Here is an 18,399-nt window from a genome sequence, read left to right as displayed (position 1 = left end):
CATGTGCACAACGTGCAGGTTTGTTACATATGTATACATGTGCCATGTTGGTGTGCTGCACCCATTAACTCGTCATTTACATTAGGTCTATCTCCTAATGCTATCCCTCCCCCATCCCCCGACCCCAGGACAGGCCCCAGTGTGTGGTGTTCCCCTTCCTGTGTCCAGGTGTTCTCATTGTTCAATTCCCAACTATGAGTGAGAACATGCGGTGTTTGGTTTTTTGTCCTTGCGATAGTTTGCTCAGAATGATGGTTTCCAGCTTCATCCATGTCCCTATAAAGGACATGAAATCATCCTTTTTTATGGCTGCATAGTATTCCATCATGTATATATGCCACATTTTCTTAATCCAGTCTATCATTGATGGACATTTGGGTTGCTTCCAAGTCTTTGCTATTGTGAATAGTGCCGCAATAAACATATGTGTGCATGTGTCTTTATACCAGCATGATTTATAATCCTTTGGGTATATACCCAGTAATGGGATGGCTGGGTCAAATGGTATTTCTAGTTCTAGATTCTTGAGGAATCGCCACACTGTCTTCCACAATGGTTGAACTAGTTTACAGTCCCACCAACAGTGTAAAAGTGTTCCTATTTCTCCACATCCTCTCCAGCACCAGTTGTTTCCTGACTTTTTAATGAACGCCATTCTAACTGGTGTGAGATGGTATCACATTGTGGTTTTGATTTGCATTTCTCCGATGGCCAATAATGATGAGCATTTTTTCACGTGTCTTTTGGCTGCATAAATGTCTTCTTTTGAGGAGTGTCTGTTCATATCCTTAGCCCACTTTTTGATGGGGTTGTTTGTATTTTTCTTGTAAGTTTGTTTGAGTTCTTTGTAGATTCTGATGTTAGCCTTTTGTCAGATGAGTAGATTGCAAAAACTTTCTCCCATTCTGTAGGTTGCCTGTTCACTCTGATGGTAGTTTCTTTTGCTGTGCAGAAGCTCTTTAGTTTAATTAGATCCCATTTGTCAATTTTAGCTTTTGTTGCCATTGCTTTTGGTGTTTTAGACATGAAGTCCTTGCCCTTGCCTATGTCCCGAATGGTATTGCCTAGGTTTTCTTCTAGGGTTTTTATGGTTTTAGGTCTAACATTTAAGTCTTTTAATCCATCTTGAATTAATTTTTGTATAAGGTGTAAGGAAGGGATCCAGTTTCAGCTTTCTACATATGGCTAGCCAGTTTTCCCAGCACCATTTATTAAATAGGGAATCCTTTCCCCATTTCTTGTTTTTGTCAGGTTTGTCAAAGATCAAATGGTTGTAGATGTGTGGTATTATTTCCGAGGTCTCTGTTCTGTTCCATTGGTCTATATTTCTGCTTTGGTACCAGTACCATGCTGTTTTGGTTACTGTAGCCTTGTAGTATAGTTTGAAGTCAGGTAGCGTGATGCCTGCAGCTTTGTTCTTTTGGCTTAGGATTGTCTTGGCAATGCATGCTGTTTTTTGGTTCCATATGAATTTTAAAGTAGTTTTTCCAATTCTGTGAAGAAAGTCATTGGTAGTTTGATGCGGATGGCATTGAATCTTTGGTAAATTACTTTGGATACTATGGCCATTTTCACAATATTGATTCTTCCTATCCATGAGCATGGAATATTCTTACGTTTGTTTGTGTCCTCTTTTATTTCTTTGAGCAGTGGTTTGTACTTCTCCTTGAAGAAGTCCTTCACATCCCTTGTAAATTGGCTTCCTAGGTATTTTATTCTCTTTGAAGCAATTGTGAATGGGAGTTCACTCATGATTTGGCTCTCTGTTTGTCTGTTATTGGTGTATAAGAATGCTTGTGATTTTTGCATGTTGATTTTGTATGCTGAGACTTTACTGAAGTTGCTTATCAGCTTAAGGGGATTTTGGGCTGAGACAATGGGTTTTTGTAAATATACAATCATTTCATCTGCAAACAGGGACAATTTGACTTCCTCTTTTCCTAATTGAGTACCCTTTATTTCTTTCTCCTGCCTGATTGTCCTTGCCAGAACTTCCAACACTATATTGAATAGGAGTGGTGAGAGAGGGCATCCCTGTCTTGTGCCAGTTGTAAAAGGGAATGCTTCCAGTTTTTGCCCATTCAGTATGATATTGGCTGTGGGTCTGTCATAAATAGCTGTTATTATTTTGAGATACGTCCCATCAATACCTAATTTATTGAGAGGTTTTAGCATGAAGGGCTGTTGAATTTTGTCAAAGGCCTTTTCTGCATCTATTGAGATAATCACGTGGTTTTTGTCTTTGGTTCTGTTTATATGATGGATTATCTTTATTGATTTGCGTATGTTGAACCAGCCTTATATCCCAGGGACGAAGCCCACTTGATCATGGTGGATAAGCTTTTTGATGTGCTGCTGGATTCAGTTTGCCAGTATTTTATTGAGGATTTTTGCATCAATGTTCATCAAGGATATTGGTCTAAAATTCTCTTTTTTGGTTGTGTCTCTGCCAGGCTTTGGTATCAGGATGATGCTGGCCTCATAAAATGAGTTAGGGAGGATTCCCTCTTTTTCTATTGATTGGAATAGTTTCAGAAAGAATGGTAGCAATTCCTCCTTTTACCTCTGGTAGAATTCGGCTGTGAATCCATCTGGTCCTGGACTTTTTTTGGTTGGTAGACTATTAATTATTTCCTCAATTTCAGAGCCTGTTATTGGTCTATTCAGGGATTCAACTTCTTCCTGGTTTAGTCTTGGGAGGGTGTATGTGGACTGCTGGGTACATAACGAAATGAAGGCAGAAATAAAGATGTCCTTTGAAACCAATGAAAACAAAGACACAACATACCAGAATCTCTGGGATACATTTAAAGCAGTGTGTACAGGGAAATTTATAGCACTAAATGCCCACAAGAGAAAGTAGGAAAGATCTAAAATTGACACCGTAACATCACAATTAAAAGAACTAGAGAAGCAATAGCAAACACATTCAAAAGCTAGCAGAAGGGAAGAAATAACTAAGATCAGAGCAGAACTGAAGGAGATAGAGACACAAAAAAGCCTTCAAAAAATCAGTGAATCCAGGAGCTGGTTTTCTGAAGAGATCAACAAAATTGATAGACCGCTAGCAAGACTAATAAAGAAGAAAAGAGAGAAGAATCAAATAGATGCAATAAAAAATGATAAAGGGAATATCACCACCGATCCCACAGAAATACAAACCATGATCCGAGAATACTATAAACCCCTTACACAAATAAACTAGAAAATCTAGAAGAAATTGATAAATTACTGTTAATTTTTAAAGATATGATAATGGCATTATGGTTCTGTTTTAAAAATAGAGTTATTGTCTCTATTTGGAAATATTTACAGATGGAAATTACATGATAATTGGGATTTACTTTAAAATAATAGGTGGAGATCCAGAGGAAATGAGGGAGTACAGAAGGAACAAAATTGGCCATATTTTGACAATTGTTGAAGCTGGGTCATGTGTAACTTAGGGTTCATTATTCTATTCTCTCTACTTTTATATATGTTTGCAAATTTCCATAATAAAAAGTTTTGTGTTTTAAAAATAATAATAAAATAAAAATAATTTGATTCCTAGTTGTTATCTTTAAATTTTGGAATTTTGAATATTTATTTGTAAATATATTTAGTTTGCAGTTATATTTTATAAGCTCCCTTCTAAAGATTTGGTGCAAGAATTGTATCTGCCTGAGAAATTGCCTTAAAAAAAATTGGGAAGTTTTTCTTCCTAGCCAAAGTTCTAGCTTTACTATCACAAAGCATATCTCATAAAATTCTGGATCAGAAAAATTGTTTCAACCCTTTATTTACAAAATAGTCTTGAAACTTTATGTTCAAAGTTTAAGATAAAAAATTAGCGTTGGTTTTGGATACTGGGAAGCGTGCCATAGGTTGTTCTGTTTGGAAGGCAGCATGAAGAAATGATGAAATCTCTTACCCTGGAATTAAATAGCTCCATCTTTGGATTCTAAGTATACTATTTACTAACTATATAATTTCTTTGAGTCACAGGTAAAATAAATTAATAATGATTAAATAAGATGCTATGTTTAAAATAGTAGCAGAATAGTTCAATAAATAGCAACTTTACTTACATTTGCAGTAAAACTTTTGAAATCTCTAAAATCATGCTATGCTATTTTCGCAAAAGCAAAAAAAGTAAAAATGTAGAGAAATATAACACAAAAATAAAATCTACCAATAATTAAATAAGGACTTTTTCTCAACTAAGAGCTAAAAACAGCTAGAAAATAACTTGAGCATCAAAAATGAAAATGTAGACTTCTTGGCATGTGACAATGTCTCCATAGATACTTTTGAAGATGAAGACTCCTGTTGAAGATTTCTGGGTTGAAAATCATTAACAGAACATTTTCTGAGCTCAGAGCAGAGACTAGTACATTTAGCAATCTATTAGAGCTGTGCTTATCATACTTCATCTTGTATCAGAATCACCTGGAGGGCTCATTAAAGCCTAGTGGTTCTAATTCAACAAGTCTTGAATGAGGGTAGATAATTTGCATTTCTAACAAGGTTCTAGGACATATGGACATTGCTGTCCGATGACCACACTTAGAGAATTACTGCTATTGATAAATTGGTGCTTCCATCAGTCAAGCCATTCCCTGGGACAACTATTTGCAGTAGTCAAGGCTTATCATAAATTACATCTCTTTTGGTCATCACACTTCCATGAGATTCTCAGACAGGTAGTAGTTACTATCTCTGTTTTTCACATGAGAAAGTCAGGTGATCCATCTCAAAATGCACACTTAATATCACTGTTAGAACCTTGACCTGGATCAAGAGAATCATCCTGGGCACCTGAAGCCTTTTAAGACTAAAAACTCCATACTGTACTAAGCCACCATTTTTAATAGTGAAAATTTATTAACACAAATCTCTGAGTTTTATATGTAAGTCAAGGAGATGGAAAAAATGGAGATTTTGAAAAATTGTATTGTAAGCACACTGAAAGCAGGGACAAAATTTATTTCTAGGAAGCACTTAGTTGCATGCCTGGCTTAAATTAGAAATTTAATATTTTTAAAAATAAATAGGATACGCACTTACTTGTTCTACATTATTGAAGTCCCCTTTATTTTTGTGCTATCTCCAGTTCTATAATGTGATACTTCAATGTGAGACATATTTGGAATGCCAGAGAAACAAATTTAATTCTAGTACGTCCCTTAAGGGAAGCCAACAACAAATTAGGAAAAATGCATTTTAATATCTCAAAACTTATTGTACTATGTGAGTCATTTTACTATGTATTTTAGGGACAGTACAGTATACTATACTGTCCTTATTTAATTATTGGTAGATTTTATTTTTGTGTTATATTTTTCTATATTTTTACTTTTTTTGCTTTTGCTAAAATAGCATAGCATGATTTTAGAGATTTCAAAAATTTTACTGCAAATGTAAGTAAAGATGCTATTTATTGTACTATTCTGCTATATAGCACTGTATACTATACTGTCCCTAAAATGACTATAGAAAAGTCATTTTACTATACTTGTAATTTTATAAGTAATTAAGTTCATTCAAACCAAAGCTCTCTGTCCTCAAAAGCAGCTTTCCTAGGGGAAAATTATTGCAATTCTATTAGATGTTTTGGTATTAATTATTGACATTATTATGGTAATATACACTTAAATTTCTGGTATGTATACTTATCTACCCAGAAATTTATTCCAAAAAACATTTTAAAAAGCCACCTGACAGGTTTGTGTCACTGAATTTGGGTAGAACCAGACACTCAAGAGGCTCAGGTGGGAGGATCACTTGAGTGGATCCCCATCACTTAAAAAATAATCAATTAATTAATTAAATTAAAAGTCACTTGACCTTTATGTTGGTTTTCTCTCTAATCAACATGTGCCAAACCCATGCAAAAAGAAAAAAAGCCAGTTATTCTAAACTACATTGATAATGCACTGAAAAAAAAATCTCAAAGTTTCTAATAATTGATGAATCAGAACGTTTCATCCTAAAATATAGAGTTCATTATAAAATATTTCTCAGAACATAGTGATTTTTTAAAAGATGCATTATTATTTAAAACCCCTGCTGTCATAAAATTAAACATTACTCAAGCTTGTTAGCAAAAAACATTAATCTGTAAACCAGCAGCCATTCCGAACAATTATTAATACAAGCATAAACCTATTATCTACAGGGCTACCATTCTGTATGAGCAGAAAACACAGAGAAAATACAGTAACTAAAATGCATCAACTGAATAAAGGAGTCATGAAGTAAGTCTGTATCCTTCCAGAACAATGGTCAAGATACTGTTCATAACTCAGTCTTCTAATTTACAACACCTTGGATTCATTGAGTGTGGAGCAGGTTATAAACAAAAATATAGCCAAGTAATTAAGGTCATTCACAACCAAAGCTCTCTGTCCATGAAAGCTCCTTTCCAAGGGGAAAATTACTGCAATTCTATTAAATGTTTTAGTATTAAGCATTAATATTTTTATGCTAATATACTCTGTACATTTTCTAAAAGATAAGAAAGCATGTAGCATTTCTGAAATTTATTTGGCCAGTGCATTAGTTCCCTATTGCTGCTATAACAAATTACTGCAGACTTAGTGGCTTGAAGCAATACGGATTTGTTCTTTTACAGTTCCAAAGTCTGAAAAGGGTCGCCTTATGTACAAAACACTATTTGGCAAGACTGTAAAGAAGTTTCCATGAAAAAGAGGACTCTTTTCATGTCAGGGCCACATTCCCTCTGGATGTTCTAGGGAAGAATCTAGAAGCCTTTTTTATCTTCCACAGGCTTTCTGCATTTCTGGAGTCATGACTTCATCCTCCATCTTCAAGCCAGCAGGATCTTCGAATCTCTTTCCTGTCCCTCTACTTTCATTGTCATACCTCTTACCCAGATCCTTTTGTTTCTGTCTTATAAGGACCCTAGTAAATTGCACTGGGCCCACAAAAATATTCTGCAATAATCTTACCCATCTTTTAATCACATGTGAAAAGTCCCTACAGTCATGTAAGAACATATTCACAGATTCTGGGAGATAAAGATGTGGCCGTTTTAGGGAGGCCAACCACAGCCATGGAGTTCTCTTTTCCATGGAACCTTCTTTACAGTTTTGCCAAATAGTGTTTTGTACATGAGATGTGATATACAAAATGACATCACTTCGGTTCACAGCTCCAAAATGAAGTCAGAAAGCCATGTGAAAAAAGAACTACTTGCACAACCTGTGTATTAGTCCATTTTCATGCTACTGATAAAGACATACCCAAGACTGGGAAATTTGTGAAAGAAAGAGGTTTAATTGGACTCACAGTGCCATGTGGCTGGGGAAACCTCACAATCATGGCAGAAGGCAAGAAGGAGCAAGTAACATCTTACGTGGATGGTGGCAGGCAAAAAAACAAAAGAGCTTGCGCAGAGAAACTCCCATTTTTAAACCGTCACTTCTCATGAGACCCATTCACTATCATGAGAACAGCATGGAAAAGACCAATTCTCATGATACAATCATCTCCCACCAGGTCCCTCCCACAACATATGGGAATTATGGGAGCTACAAAATGAGATTTTGGTGGGACACAGAGCCAAATCATATCAACCTGCAACCAAAAAAAAAAAAAAAAAACCTGAGAAAAATAGGAACTTGCCTTGAACCTTTCAAACTTAGCCAAACGGCAGTGACCACAATATCCTGGAAAACAGCTGAATTTCACCAGTGCTACAACTCCTGAACGGTGACAACCAGTGAACTGTGAACTCATGTACTAAGACAGCCACCTCCATTAACAATAATTCTTTCAAAATAACTTATGTAAACACCCTCAGCATTCTTTCATAAACCCCTACACCCTTCCCTCTGGAACTCAATTTGACCTTTGGCCAAATCTGTGTCTCCAAAATTGCAATTCCTAAAATCCCAATAAATGCCTTCTCTTACTGCTTTGCAGTCTGGTCTTTCACCTCTTTCGTGCTGACATGTAGAACAAAGTTTGGAAAACGTGTGTTTTTGTAAGAATATGAAAAAGATGGGGCAGTTCCAAGATGGCCAAATAGGAAGAGCTCCAGTCTACAGCTCCCAGCGTGAGCAATGCAGAAGATGGGTGATTTCTGCATTTCCAACTGAGGTACTGGGTTCATTTCACTGGGGCTTTTCGGACAGAGGGGCCAGGACAATGGGTACAGCCCACCGAGCATGAGCTGAAGCAGGGCAAGGCATTGCCTCACCGGGGAAGCACAAGGGGTCAGGGAATTCCCTTTCCTAGCCAAGGGAAGCTGTGACAGATGGCACCTGGGAAATTGGGTCACTCCCACCCTAATACTGCACTTTTCCAATGGTCTTAGCAAATGGCACACCAGGAGATTATATCCTGTGCATAGCTCAGAGGGTCTCACACCCACGGAGCCTTGCTCATTGCTAGCACAGCACTCTGAGATCAAACTGCAAGGCAGCAGCGAGGCTGGGGGAGGGTGCCCGCCATTGCTGAGGCTTGAATAGGTAAACTAAGCAGTCTGGAGGTTTCAAATTGGGTGGAAACACCACAGCTCAAGGAGGCCTGCCTGCCTCTGTAGACTCCACCTCTGGGGGCAGGGCATAGCCAAACAAAAGGTGGCAGAAACCTCTGCAGACTTAAATGTCCCTGTCTGACAGCTTGGAAGAGAGTAGTGGTTCTTCCAGCATGGAGTTTGAGATCTGAGAATGGACAGACTGCCTCCTCAAGTGGGTCCCTGAACCTCGAGTAGCCTAAGTGGGAGGTATCCCACAGTAGAGGCAGATGGACACCTCACACGGCTGGGTACTCCTCTGAGATGAAGCTTCCAGAGGAACAATCAGGCAGCAACATTTGCTGTTCAGCAATATTCGCTGTTCTGCAGCTTCCGCTGCTGATACACAGGCAAACAGGGTCTGGAGTGGACCTCCAGCAAACTCCAACAGACCTGCAGCTGAGGGTCCTGTCTGTTAGAAGGAAAACTAACAAACAGAAAGGACAACCACACCAAAACCCCATCTGTACGTCACCATCAACAAAGACCAAAGGTAGATAAAACCACAAAGATAGGAAAAAAACAGAGCAGAAAAACTGAAAATTCTAAAAATCATAGCACCTCTCCCCCTCCAAAGGAACGCAACTCCTTGCCAGCAACAGAACAAAGCTGGATGGAGAATGACTTTGATGAGTTGAGAGAAGAAGGCTTCAGAAAATCAAACTTCTCCGAGCTAAAGGAGGAAGTTCGAACCCATCGAAAAGAAGCTAAAAACCTTGAAAAAAGATTAGACGAATGGCTAACTAGAATAATCAGTGTAGAGAAGTCCTTAAATGACCTGATGGAGCTGAAAACCATGGCACAAGAACTATGTGACACATGCACAAGCTTCAATAGCTGATTCAATCAACTGGAAGAAAGGGTATCAGTGATTAAAGATCAAATGAATGAAATGAAGCAAGAAGAGAAGTTTAGAGAAAAAAGAGTAAAAAGAAACGAACAAAGCTTCCAAGAAATATGGGACTATGTGAAAAGACCAAATCTACGTCCGATTGATGTACCTGAAAGTGACGGGGAGAATGGAACCAAGTTGGAAAACACTCTGCAGGATATTATCCAGGAGAACTTCCCCAACCTAGCAAGGCAGGCCAACATTCAAATTCAGGAAATACAGAGAATGCCACAAAGATACTCCTCGAGAAGAGCAACTCCAAGACACAAAATTGTCAGATTCACCAAAGTTGAAATGAAGAAAAAAATGTTAAGGGCAGCCAGAGAGAAAGGTCGGGTTGCCCACAAAGGTAAGCCCATCAGACTAACAGCTGATATCTCAGCAGAAACTCTACAAGCCAGAAGAGAGTGGGGACCAATATTCAACATTCTTAAAGAAAAGAATTTTCAACCCAGAATTTCATATCCAGCCAAACTAAGCTTCATAAGTGAAAGAGAAATAAAATCCTTTACAGATAAGCAAAAGCTGACAGATTTTGTCACCACCAGGCCTGCCCTAAAAGAGCTCCTGAAGGAAGCACTAAACATGGAAAGGAACAACCAGTACCAGCCACTGCAAAAACTTGCCAAATTGTGAAGACCATTGATGCTAGGAAGAAACTGCATCAACTAAAGAGCAAAATAACCAGCTAACATCATAATGACAGGATCAAATTCACACATAACAATATTAACCTTAAATGTAAATGGACTAAATGCTCCAGTTAAAAGACACAGACTGGCAAATTGGATAAAGAGTCAAGACCCATCAGTGTGCTGTATTCAGGAGACCCATCTCACGTGCAGAGACACACATAAGTTCAAAATAAAGGGATGGAGGAAGATCTATGAAGCAAATGGAAAACCAAAAATGGCAGGGGTTGCAATCCTAGTCTCTAATAAAACAGACTTTAAACCAACAAAGATCAGAAGAGACAAAGAAGGCCATTACATAATAGTAAAGGGATCAATTCAACAAGAAGAACTAACTATCCTAAATATGTATGCGCCCAATACAGGAGCATCCAGATTCATAAAGCAAGTCCTTAGAGACCTACAAAGAGACTTAGACTCCCACACAATAATAATGGAGACTTTAACACCCCACTGTCAACATTAGACAGATCAACGAGACAGAAAGTTAACAAGGATATCCAGGAATTGAACTCAGCTCTGCACTAAGAGGATCTGATAGGTTTAGCGGCACTATTCACAATAGCAAAGACTTGGAACCAACCCAAATGTCCATCAATGATAGACTGGATTAAGAAAATGTGGCACATATACACCATGGAATACTATGCAGCCATAAAACAGGATGATTTCATGTCCTTTGTACCCTAGAACTTAAAGTATAATAAAAAAAAAAAAAGAAAATGATTCCAGACTGTGGAAGCATAAATGAGAAGATGAAGAATGAACTGTACTGTAAGAAAAAATTTACTGTGGATAAGTCGTAATTGTAGGAGCCCTGTGGCTTGTGATTTGAAGCCATTGTGTCAACACAAATGGTCAAATGAAGTAAGGAAAAGTACTAGGACCTTGTTCTAACATGCCTCCAGAATCCTTAAATACTATGTTGAATGCTTCTTAAAATGATGTTGTAATAATGCAAAAGTGTAATAAATTTACAAAAGATGAATATGAATACTATGATCTGTTGGATTAGGGAAATTCATGCCATGATGTATGGCAATGAGAGGTAATTAGAAGGTTGGATTTGGAAACTTATAAGGTTATATGATGTTGACATCAGTTGCAGATCTTATGTTGTGCTAGGTGAACACCAAAAAGTAGGAGGAGGAGGAAGTGGAGGAAGAAAAGGAGAAGGAGGAGGAAGGAAAAAGGAAGAGAAGGAGGAGAAATCTTCATTCAATGAAAAGACAGGACAGTATAGTGGTTACCAGCTCACGCTCTAAGGCCAGATTGCCATGTCATAATCATTGCTTTGCCACCTTAACTGCCCCTTGCCTCTTTGACCAGTTTTCTTATCTGTAAAATGAGTACAATAATCATATCTGTCATAGTATTTGTGAATATTAAATGGTTAATTTGGGTGCATTATATAGCATGGACTGAAACCATATTATCTATTATTATTACAATTGTTCTTGTTTCCCAGGACGAAAGTGAGGGGATACACGAGCAGGAAAAGATGACCTAGAGCTAAATATGTGAGCATGTCTTCTGACTACATCCTCTCTGACAATAAGTGAATAAATGTCTAGCTATACACGTTCTAGAACAGTGAATTCAAAGAAAGAATAATGTAATTTATAATAAGATAATCCTATTTGATGACATGAGATGACTATTCATCCTACATTCATTAATAGAATACAAAGAATGCCTTATAGAAAGAAACTCCCTTGTCACATGGTTTGTAAACACTAATGCATTTTGGGATTAGCTTGGAATACTAAAAAATACCCATTTCCAGGCATTCTGATTTATCTTTTCTGGGGTGCCAACCTTGGCATTGGTTTTATAAATCCCCTTGGATAAATGTAAAGTGCAGTAAAGTTTGGGAACTACTGCCTTTGCTCGCGAAAAGATTGTTGACTAATGAGGAAGTGACATCAACTTTGCCAGAGAACAATGGGCTTTAGGTTTGCACTTTACTTTTAAGTTCATACTAATGTTTCGTCATTTGAGTTGCTGTAAATATAATATATTGAATCATATTAAATTACTGGATATTTGAATGCTTTGACCTATAAAAATGACAATTTCATATGCAATAATTTTGAGTAAGATTTAGGTAGAGCAGCTCTTGTCCAGAGTAACCTAAATGTCCATTGATGGATAAAGAAAATGTTATGTATACATAAAAGGGAATATTATTCATCTATACAAAGGTAATCCTATCATATGCTACACGTGTGAACCCTAAGGACATTATATTAAGTCAAATAAGCCAGTCACAGAAAGACAAATACTGCATGATTCCATTTATATGAGGTATCTAAAGTAGTCAAACTCATAGAAACAGAAAGTAAAATGGTGGTTGCCAGGGGCTTGGGAGAAGCAGAAATGGGGTACTGTTCAATGCATATAGATATAGAAATCCAGTCGTACAAGATGAAAAGTTCTAGATATCTAGTGTATAACATTGTGGCTTATACTTAACAATATTGTACTGTACACTTAAAACTTTTTCAATAAGGTATCTCAGGTTTATGTGGTTTTACCACAATAAAAAATGTGCCTCTTAGTAAGAGACTGCTTTGCTAGCAAACACAGTACTTCCGCCACTTCTTTCATCCAGAATGTCTTCATTTTAAACTCCATTTGCAGAAATCTTATCTAACTTTGGAGTTCCAAGTTCCAGTGCTACATTCTCCATCAGTGCCTTATGTTAGAGAATGTGATGAGCTTTGCCTGTGGAGACAGGATCCCAGGGAAATGACAATAACAAAAGAAAGAAGAAAGAATATGAGCTTCCTCCAGACATCATCAAAGAGTTAAGTAAAAAAAATATGTTTGGAAAACCAATAAGTAAGAAAGGGTGGGGAGAAGAACTCTTGGAGAATGGGGGAAGTGAGTGGGAATAATGACATCGCATTCCAGAAATTTCATGATAACAGTGAAATGCAAGAACAGGTACAGCAGGAGTAAGAAATGGGAAGCAGAGCCTCAGGCAACACTGAAAAGCTTCAGCATCCAATTGATGGCATTGAGATCAGCTGAAAATAGAGTGTTACGTGTACATGTTGGGATAGTGTGGTAAAAGCACAATATTGCTGCAAGTAATTAGATGCTGGAATTAGATTACGCTTACTGCTATTATATTTATATCCAATTCAAGTTGTGTATAATCAAGTGAACTAGCATAAGCGATTGACATAAGCCATTTTCATGGCTTCTTTCTTGGCATGAAAGAAGGAAGGAAACAAGCAGATGGTGAACTAACATCATGTGGCACCACTCTCTATTTATGGCTGATTCCTGGTGGACCCTGTATAACAAAGAACAGTGTGAGGTTTCATGGCACACTCAGAAGAGGAATATCTCATTTGAAAACAAAAGGGAGAATCTAAAGTAGTACTCCCATCACCACAAGACTTTAGCCCTCTTCCCCATAATCCAAAGCTTCCCTTTTCCTGAGTCAGGAAGAGTAGGCTTAACTCCACTCCTCATGCCCTCCATGTTCCAGGACTCAGAGAGACAACACACAAAATTTTCATTAACAACCTCAGCGCAGGTAGTCCCCACTTACTTAAGCACTTTTGTACTTCTTTTTTGATAGTCATTGCCAAAGTTTTGATGGGCTTTGATTAAGGTATCCTGGGACCTCAGCACAACCAACAATAAAGAGAGAAGGAAGAAGACCCAGGACCAGGACAGGTAAAGGAAAACCAACCCAGCAGCAGGGCTGTTCCTGAGGGACAGTAGCTACATTAACACATAAAGTAAGTGACATCTGTGTAGACTTAGACCCATTGACAACAGCTGTTTCGGGAAATTCCAAGTGTGGTTAAAACAAGACAGAATGAGGGGATATACTTGATGTTACAATGGTAGTTTAATGTTTCCAGGCCATTAGTGTATGAAGAGCAGATATCTGGCCAGCAATTTGCAGTGTGTAAAGAGCCATACTCACTGGGGAAAAAAGGTGTGCTAGAGATAGAATTAGTGTTAAAATGGTGTAGGTGGGCCAAGCACAGTGGATCATGCCTGTAATTCCAGCACTTTGGGAGGCCAAGGCTGGAAGATCACCTCAATTCAGGAGTTTGAGACCAGTCTGGGCAACATGGCAAAACCCTGTCTCTACAAAAAATACAAAAATTAGCCAGGTGTGGTGGTATGCTCCTATAGTCCCAGCTCCTCTGGAGGCTGAAGCAGGAGAATCCCTTGAGCCCGGGAGGTGGAGATTGCAGTAAGCTGAGATGGTGCCACTGCACTCCAGCCTGAGTGACAACGCAAGACCCTATCTCAAAAAATGAAATAAACAAGTAAACATAAATAAGACAAGAAGGTGTAGGTGTTCACCAACACTCAGTGGGAAACAGCAGTACTAGACAGAGAAATGAAAACAGAATCTAACTGAGGATACTGACACTTTGGTCTGAGCCTGTGTTTGCCTGTGTAAGCCTGTTTAAGGCAAGAGGATGTCAGCAACTAAAAACTTTTAGACTACTAGAAAATTAAATCAGTAGCTAGAGGTAAAAATACTAAGAGCATAGTCAGCTTTGTGTAACAATTAACATATGTGCTTAACATATTCCTTGTACCAGAGGGTAAACACTTTGCAGGCAAGAATAATGCTTAATTTATATAGAATCCCAAGAGAAATGTATGTTTATTATAAATTTGGAAGATAAAAAGCACAGAAAATTGTGGAAGTTCCTCTATGATAATATCCAGGGCTTCTTGATGAATTTATATTGAGTTCCATTCTATAGATACACTTGTTATTTAATTATAATTGGTACATCATTGCCATCTGTCACTTCATGGCTATGCAAAGAACCCTCTCCGGAAAGTGAAAAGTCAGTGGTAATAAATAGCAACTTGCGTCCACTGTAATGAAATAACATAGTTTCTAGGCTTTAATCTACTTTCACCATAACACTTTGAATAGAAAAGGAATAAAACATTAGAAAAAAAAACCTATCATGATGCATAATGCCAAACAAAGGAATGGTAATAAGAAATGTATTGAGCTTTTTTAGAGAATTGTTACTCCAATCTGGCTGGTGGTTAAATGATTTGTCAAATGCCACACTGCTGCCCATGTTATTTTGCTGGTGCAGCTCCTTACTGTCTCAACTTCTTCCTGCCAGCATTACTGTGAAAATTCTGCCCATACTTTAGTCATGGTTCAAATGACATCCCTTACATAAAGCTTTCTCTGATCCCAGATCTATGAGTGCCATCTCAGTACTTTTTTTGATGTTCCTTATCCATATGTCAACGTGTCAGTGTCTCCTGGTCTTGGTGTTTGAGCCTCTTCTCTTCCAATTCTTACCTTCATTTCTAAGTGATCTCATCTAGTCTCAAAAGTTTCTATGTCATCTATAATTGGTTAGCTCCATTTTGTCCAACACTGACCTCTCCTCTGATGTAGTCAACTCTCTATATTACATCTACACTTGGATATTAACAGAAATCTCAAATTTAACATGAGCAAAACAGAACTTTCACTATTCTTCTCCCAAGTGACGTTCTCTCATTCTTCTTTTTAAAAAGACAGGAAAATCAGGCATTATTTTTGATTCTTCTATTTCCATCACACCACATATCCAATATACTCTGAGCAAGTGTCATCAGCTCTGTCTTACAAATGTAGTTGTGAATTGGATGGAACATTTCTTATCTTTCAACCATCACCTGAGCCTAAGCAACTATTTTCTGTAGGCTAGATCTCAGCAAGAGCCTTCTCACAGATATTCTGGATTCCACTTCCTTTTGAAATTTTTCCACAGAGCACCTGGAATAATTCTTTCAAAATTAAACTATGTGAGTTTATAGATATGTTCACTTCCTTGATTGTAGTAAACATTTCACTATCTATGTATATCTAAAAAACCATGTTGTATACCTTAAATATACACAATATTTTAAAAAGCCATCCAACCCCAAGTCCCTTATAGCAGCCTATAAAGTCACATATTCTTTATTTTTGAGCCTGCCTTCCAAGTTTGACTTCTGACACCCACCCTCCAAATCCATTTATCTCCCTGTGGATGTGCCTTCTTCATTTCCTTTGGGTATCCAGGCTCACTGTCCCTTTGGCCCTTTCAACTGTTGCTCTTTTTCCTGGAATGCTCTTCCTTAATATCCTCCTGTGGCTGGCTATCTCATTTCATTAGGTCTCTGTCACACAGTCCTATCTTCTGAGAGAACTTTCTTTACAGCACTTCCCAAAAGAACTTCCTGACTATATTGTTACTTTTTGTTCCTTTATTCTAGTTTATTTGCCTCCATATGATTTATGTCCATCTTCCAAAATACTATATATGGATTTATTTATTAATCTGTGTATTATTTTTAACTCTTTTTAAATATTAGCTCCATTGGGGTAAGATCTTTGCCTTGCTTGCTGTTACATCCACAACATACAGCATAGCAATAGGCACCCTAACCCTAACCCTGTGATAGGCACAGGGTAGGCATTCAATAAATATTTGTTAAATAGATAAATTGAATGTAATAAAATTTTCTTTGAAATCTATTCATAGTATTTTTTATTTTTTAGAGGTACTTAAGTATACATTTACTCTCCCTGGAATGCTATAAGCTTCTTGGGGGCAAAAAAGTATCCAACTATATACTCTGTTCATCTAGACTAAATCTTTGTATTTAGTAATACAGAAAACAATACATTTTTACTAAATTAATTAAAGATGAGTGAAAGTTGTGCTTTGAAGTTTCACATTTTAGGCAAAGAAGATTAAGAGCTGAGAAGTAATCAGTGTTGAGAAATTTGTATAGGTTCTAGGAGAAATACATAGCTACCTGATACCTCAATTAATAAATGCCGTCTTCTTAAAAATATAGAGAATAACTGAAATACTTAAGTAATTACTGCTATGGTAAGCCTGTGATATAAAAAGAATTGGAGATGAGGAAAAAGTAAATACAAGAGATCAATTTAGAAACTATTACAATAGGCTTGATGAAAAGTCATGGAACTCCAACTAGGGGCAAAGCCAATAAGATTAGAGACAGAGAGAGTTGTAACAGGACCTTCAGAGGTTTAGTTAATAATACTTAATGAATTTGGTCACAAATTAGAGAGGAAGGTCATGGAAACAACAGGAATCAAAGCAACTTTACAGTTTTGTACCTAAATAACAGAGAGGACAGTAAGGCAAATAAAAATTTAAAAGTAAAGAGGAAGCAACAATTCAAAAGGAAAAATTAATTCAGTTCAGGCATTTTGGATCAGAAAAAAAAGAGATAAATGCATAAATACAAGAATGGGAAGAAATACAGAGATGTCTATTGTGCCAAGGACTAAAATTCCATTTCTAAAATGATTATCCAGGTTTAAAAATTGAGAGAGATGATGGGTAGATGTTGACCCCCGAGTTCTAAGAGGTAGAAGTGAAAAACAGAGTGTTCTGAAATAAAGGAAACACTTTATGATCACCCAGGAGCCAAAGCTAAATGGTTTAGAAACTGAAGAATCTATCACAGTGCAGTTTTCTTGTGTTGGACTTCAGTTTAATTGAATATTGTGCTGATTTTCTGCTGTTATAAAAGAAACTATGACCTAGGTAATATTAAGTTCTGAAAATCTTGTCTTTAAAAAGGAAAAACACTGATCCATGTTATACAAGAAAGTATAAAGAAAATCAAATTAATTTTAGATTCATTAAAATGAAATTCAGAATACTTGAGTTGCCAAGTTTATGTTATAAAGTGAAAATACATCTAAAATCAAACAATGTTGACATTCCCTTAAAATGTGTATTTATATAAATAATTTGAAGATGCACCCAAAAGACATGCTTTTTCTTTCTGAGGATGATACATCATTTAAATCAATGTTATCATAGATAATTCATTTGGAATACAGTGCATCAAGCTCCCTCTGTCTCTTTAGAGCTTTAATAAGAACCTTGCGATGCAGAGCTATAAATTTTTTGTTTTATGTAGCCTCCATCTTATGGCTGACTCCTCTAAAATATGATTCTCCAACTGAAGTTAATTTAACAATAAACATCTCCTCTAAAATATGATTCTCCAACTGAAGTTAATGTAACAATAAGCATGCATCTTTAATTTTATTTTTGTTAAATCTCATGGGTTTTAATTTGGCAGGTAATGAATCAATTTTGTACATGTTGTTTTATTACACATATAAAAAGTCTTGGATAATCGTTGATGTATCTTTAAGTATTCTATTCTCATCTCATCAATTGCTTCCACTTCAGTTTAGAAAATTTGCTCAATACTTGTCATTTCTAGTACATTCTGGACAAAACTGCAGAATA

The 18,399-nt window shown here is 37.0% G+C and overlaps 1 long non-coding RNA gene across 1 annotated transcript in view; it reads left to right on the top strand.

Moving 5' to 3' along the window:
* Positions 1-10,768: 10,768 nt before the first annotated feature.
* The window catches only part of LOC105377861 (uncharacterized), a 32,911-nt gene continuing 25,280 nt past the window's right edge, over positions 10,769-18,399 (top strand). Inside the window, exons 1-3 of the long non-coding RNA XR_942697.3 lie at positions 10,769-11,628; positions 12,752-12,917; positions 13,704-13,801. This is a non-coding gene — a long non-coding RNA (uncharacterized LOC105377861). The remainder of the gene's footprint in view (positions 11,629-12,751; positions 12,918-13,703; positions 13,802-18,399) is intronic.

Source organism: Homo sapiens, chromosome 6 (assembly GCF_000001405.40).
Source record: "Homo sapiens chromosome 6, GRCh38.p14 Primary Assembly".
NCBI classification, from domain to species: domain Eukaryota; kingdom Metazoa; phylum Chordata; class Mammalia; order Primates; family Hominidae; genus Homo; species Homo sapiens.
Note: the sequence above shows the minus strand (reverse complement) of the source record. Positions and strands in the feature narration are given on the sequence as shown.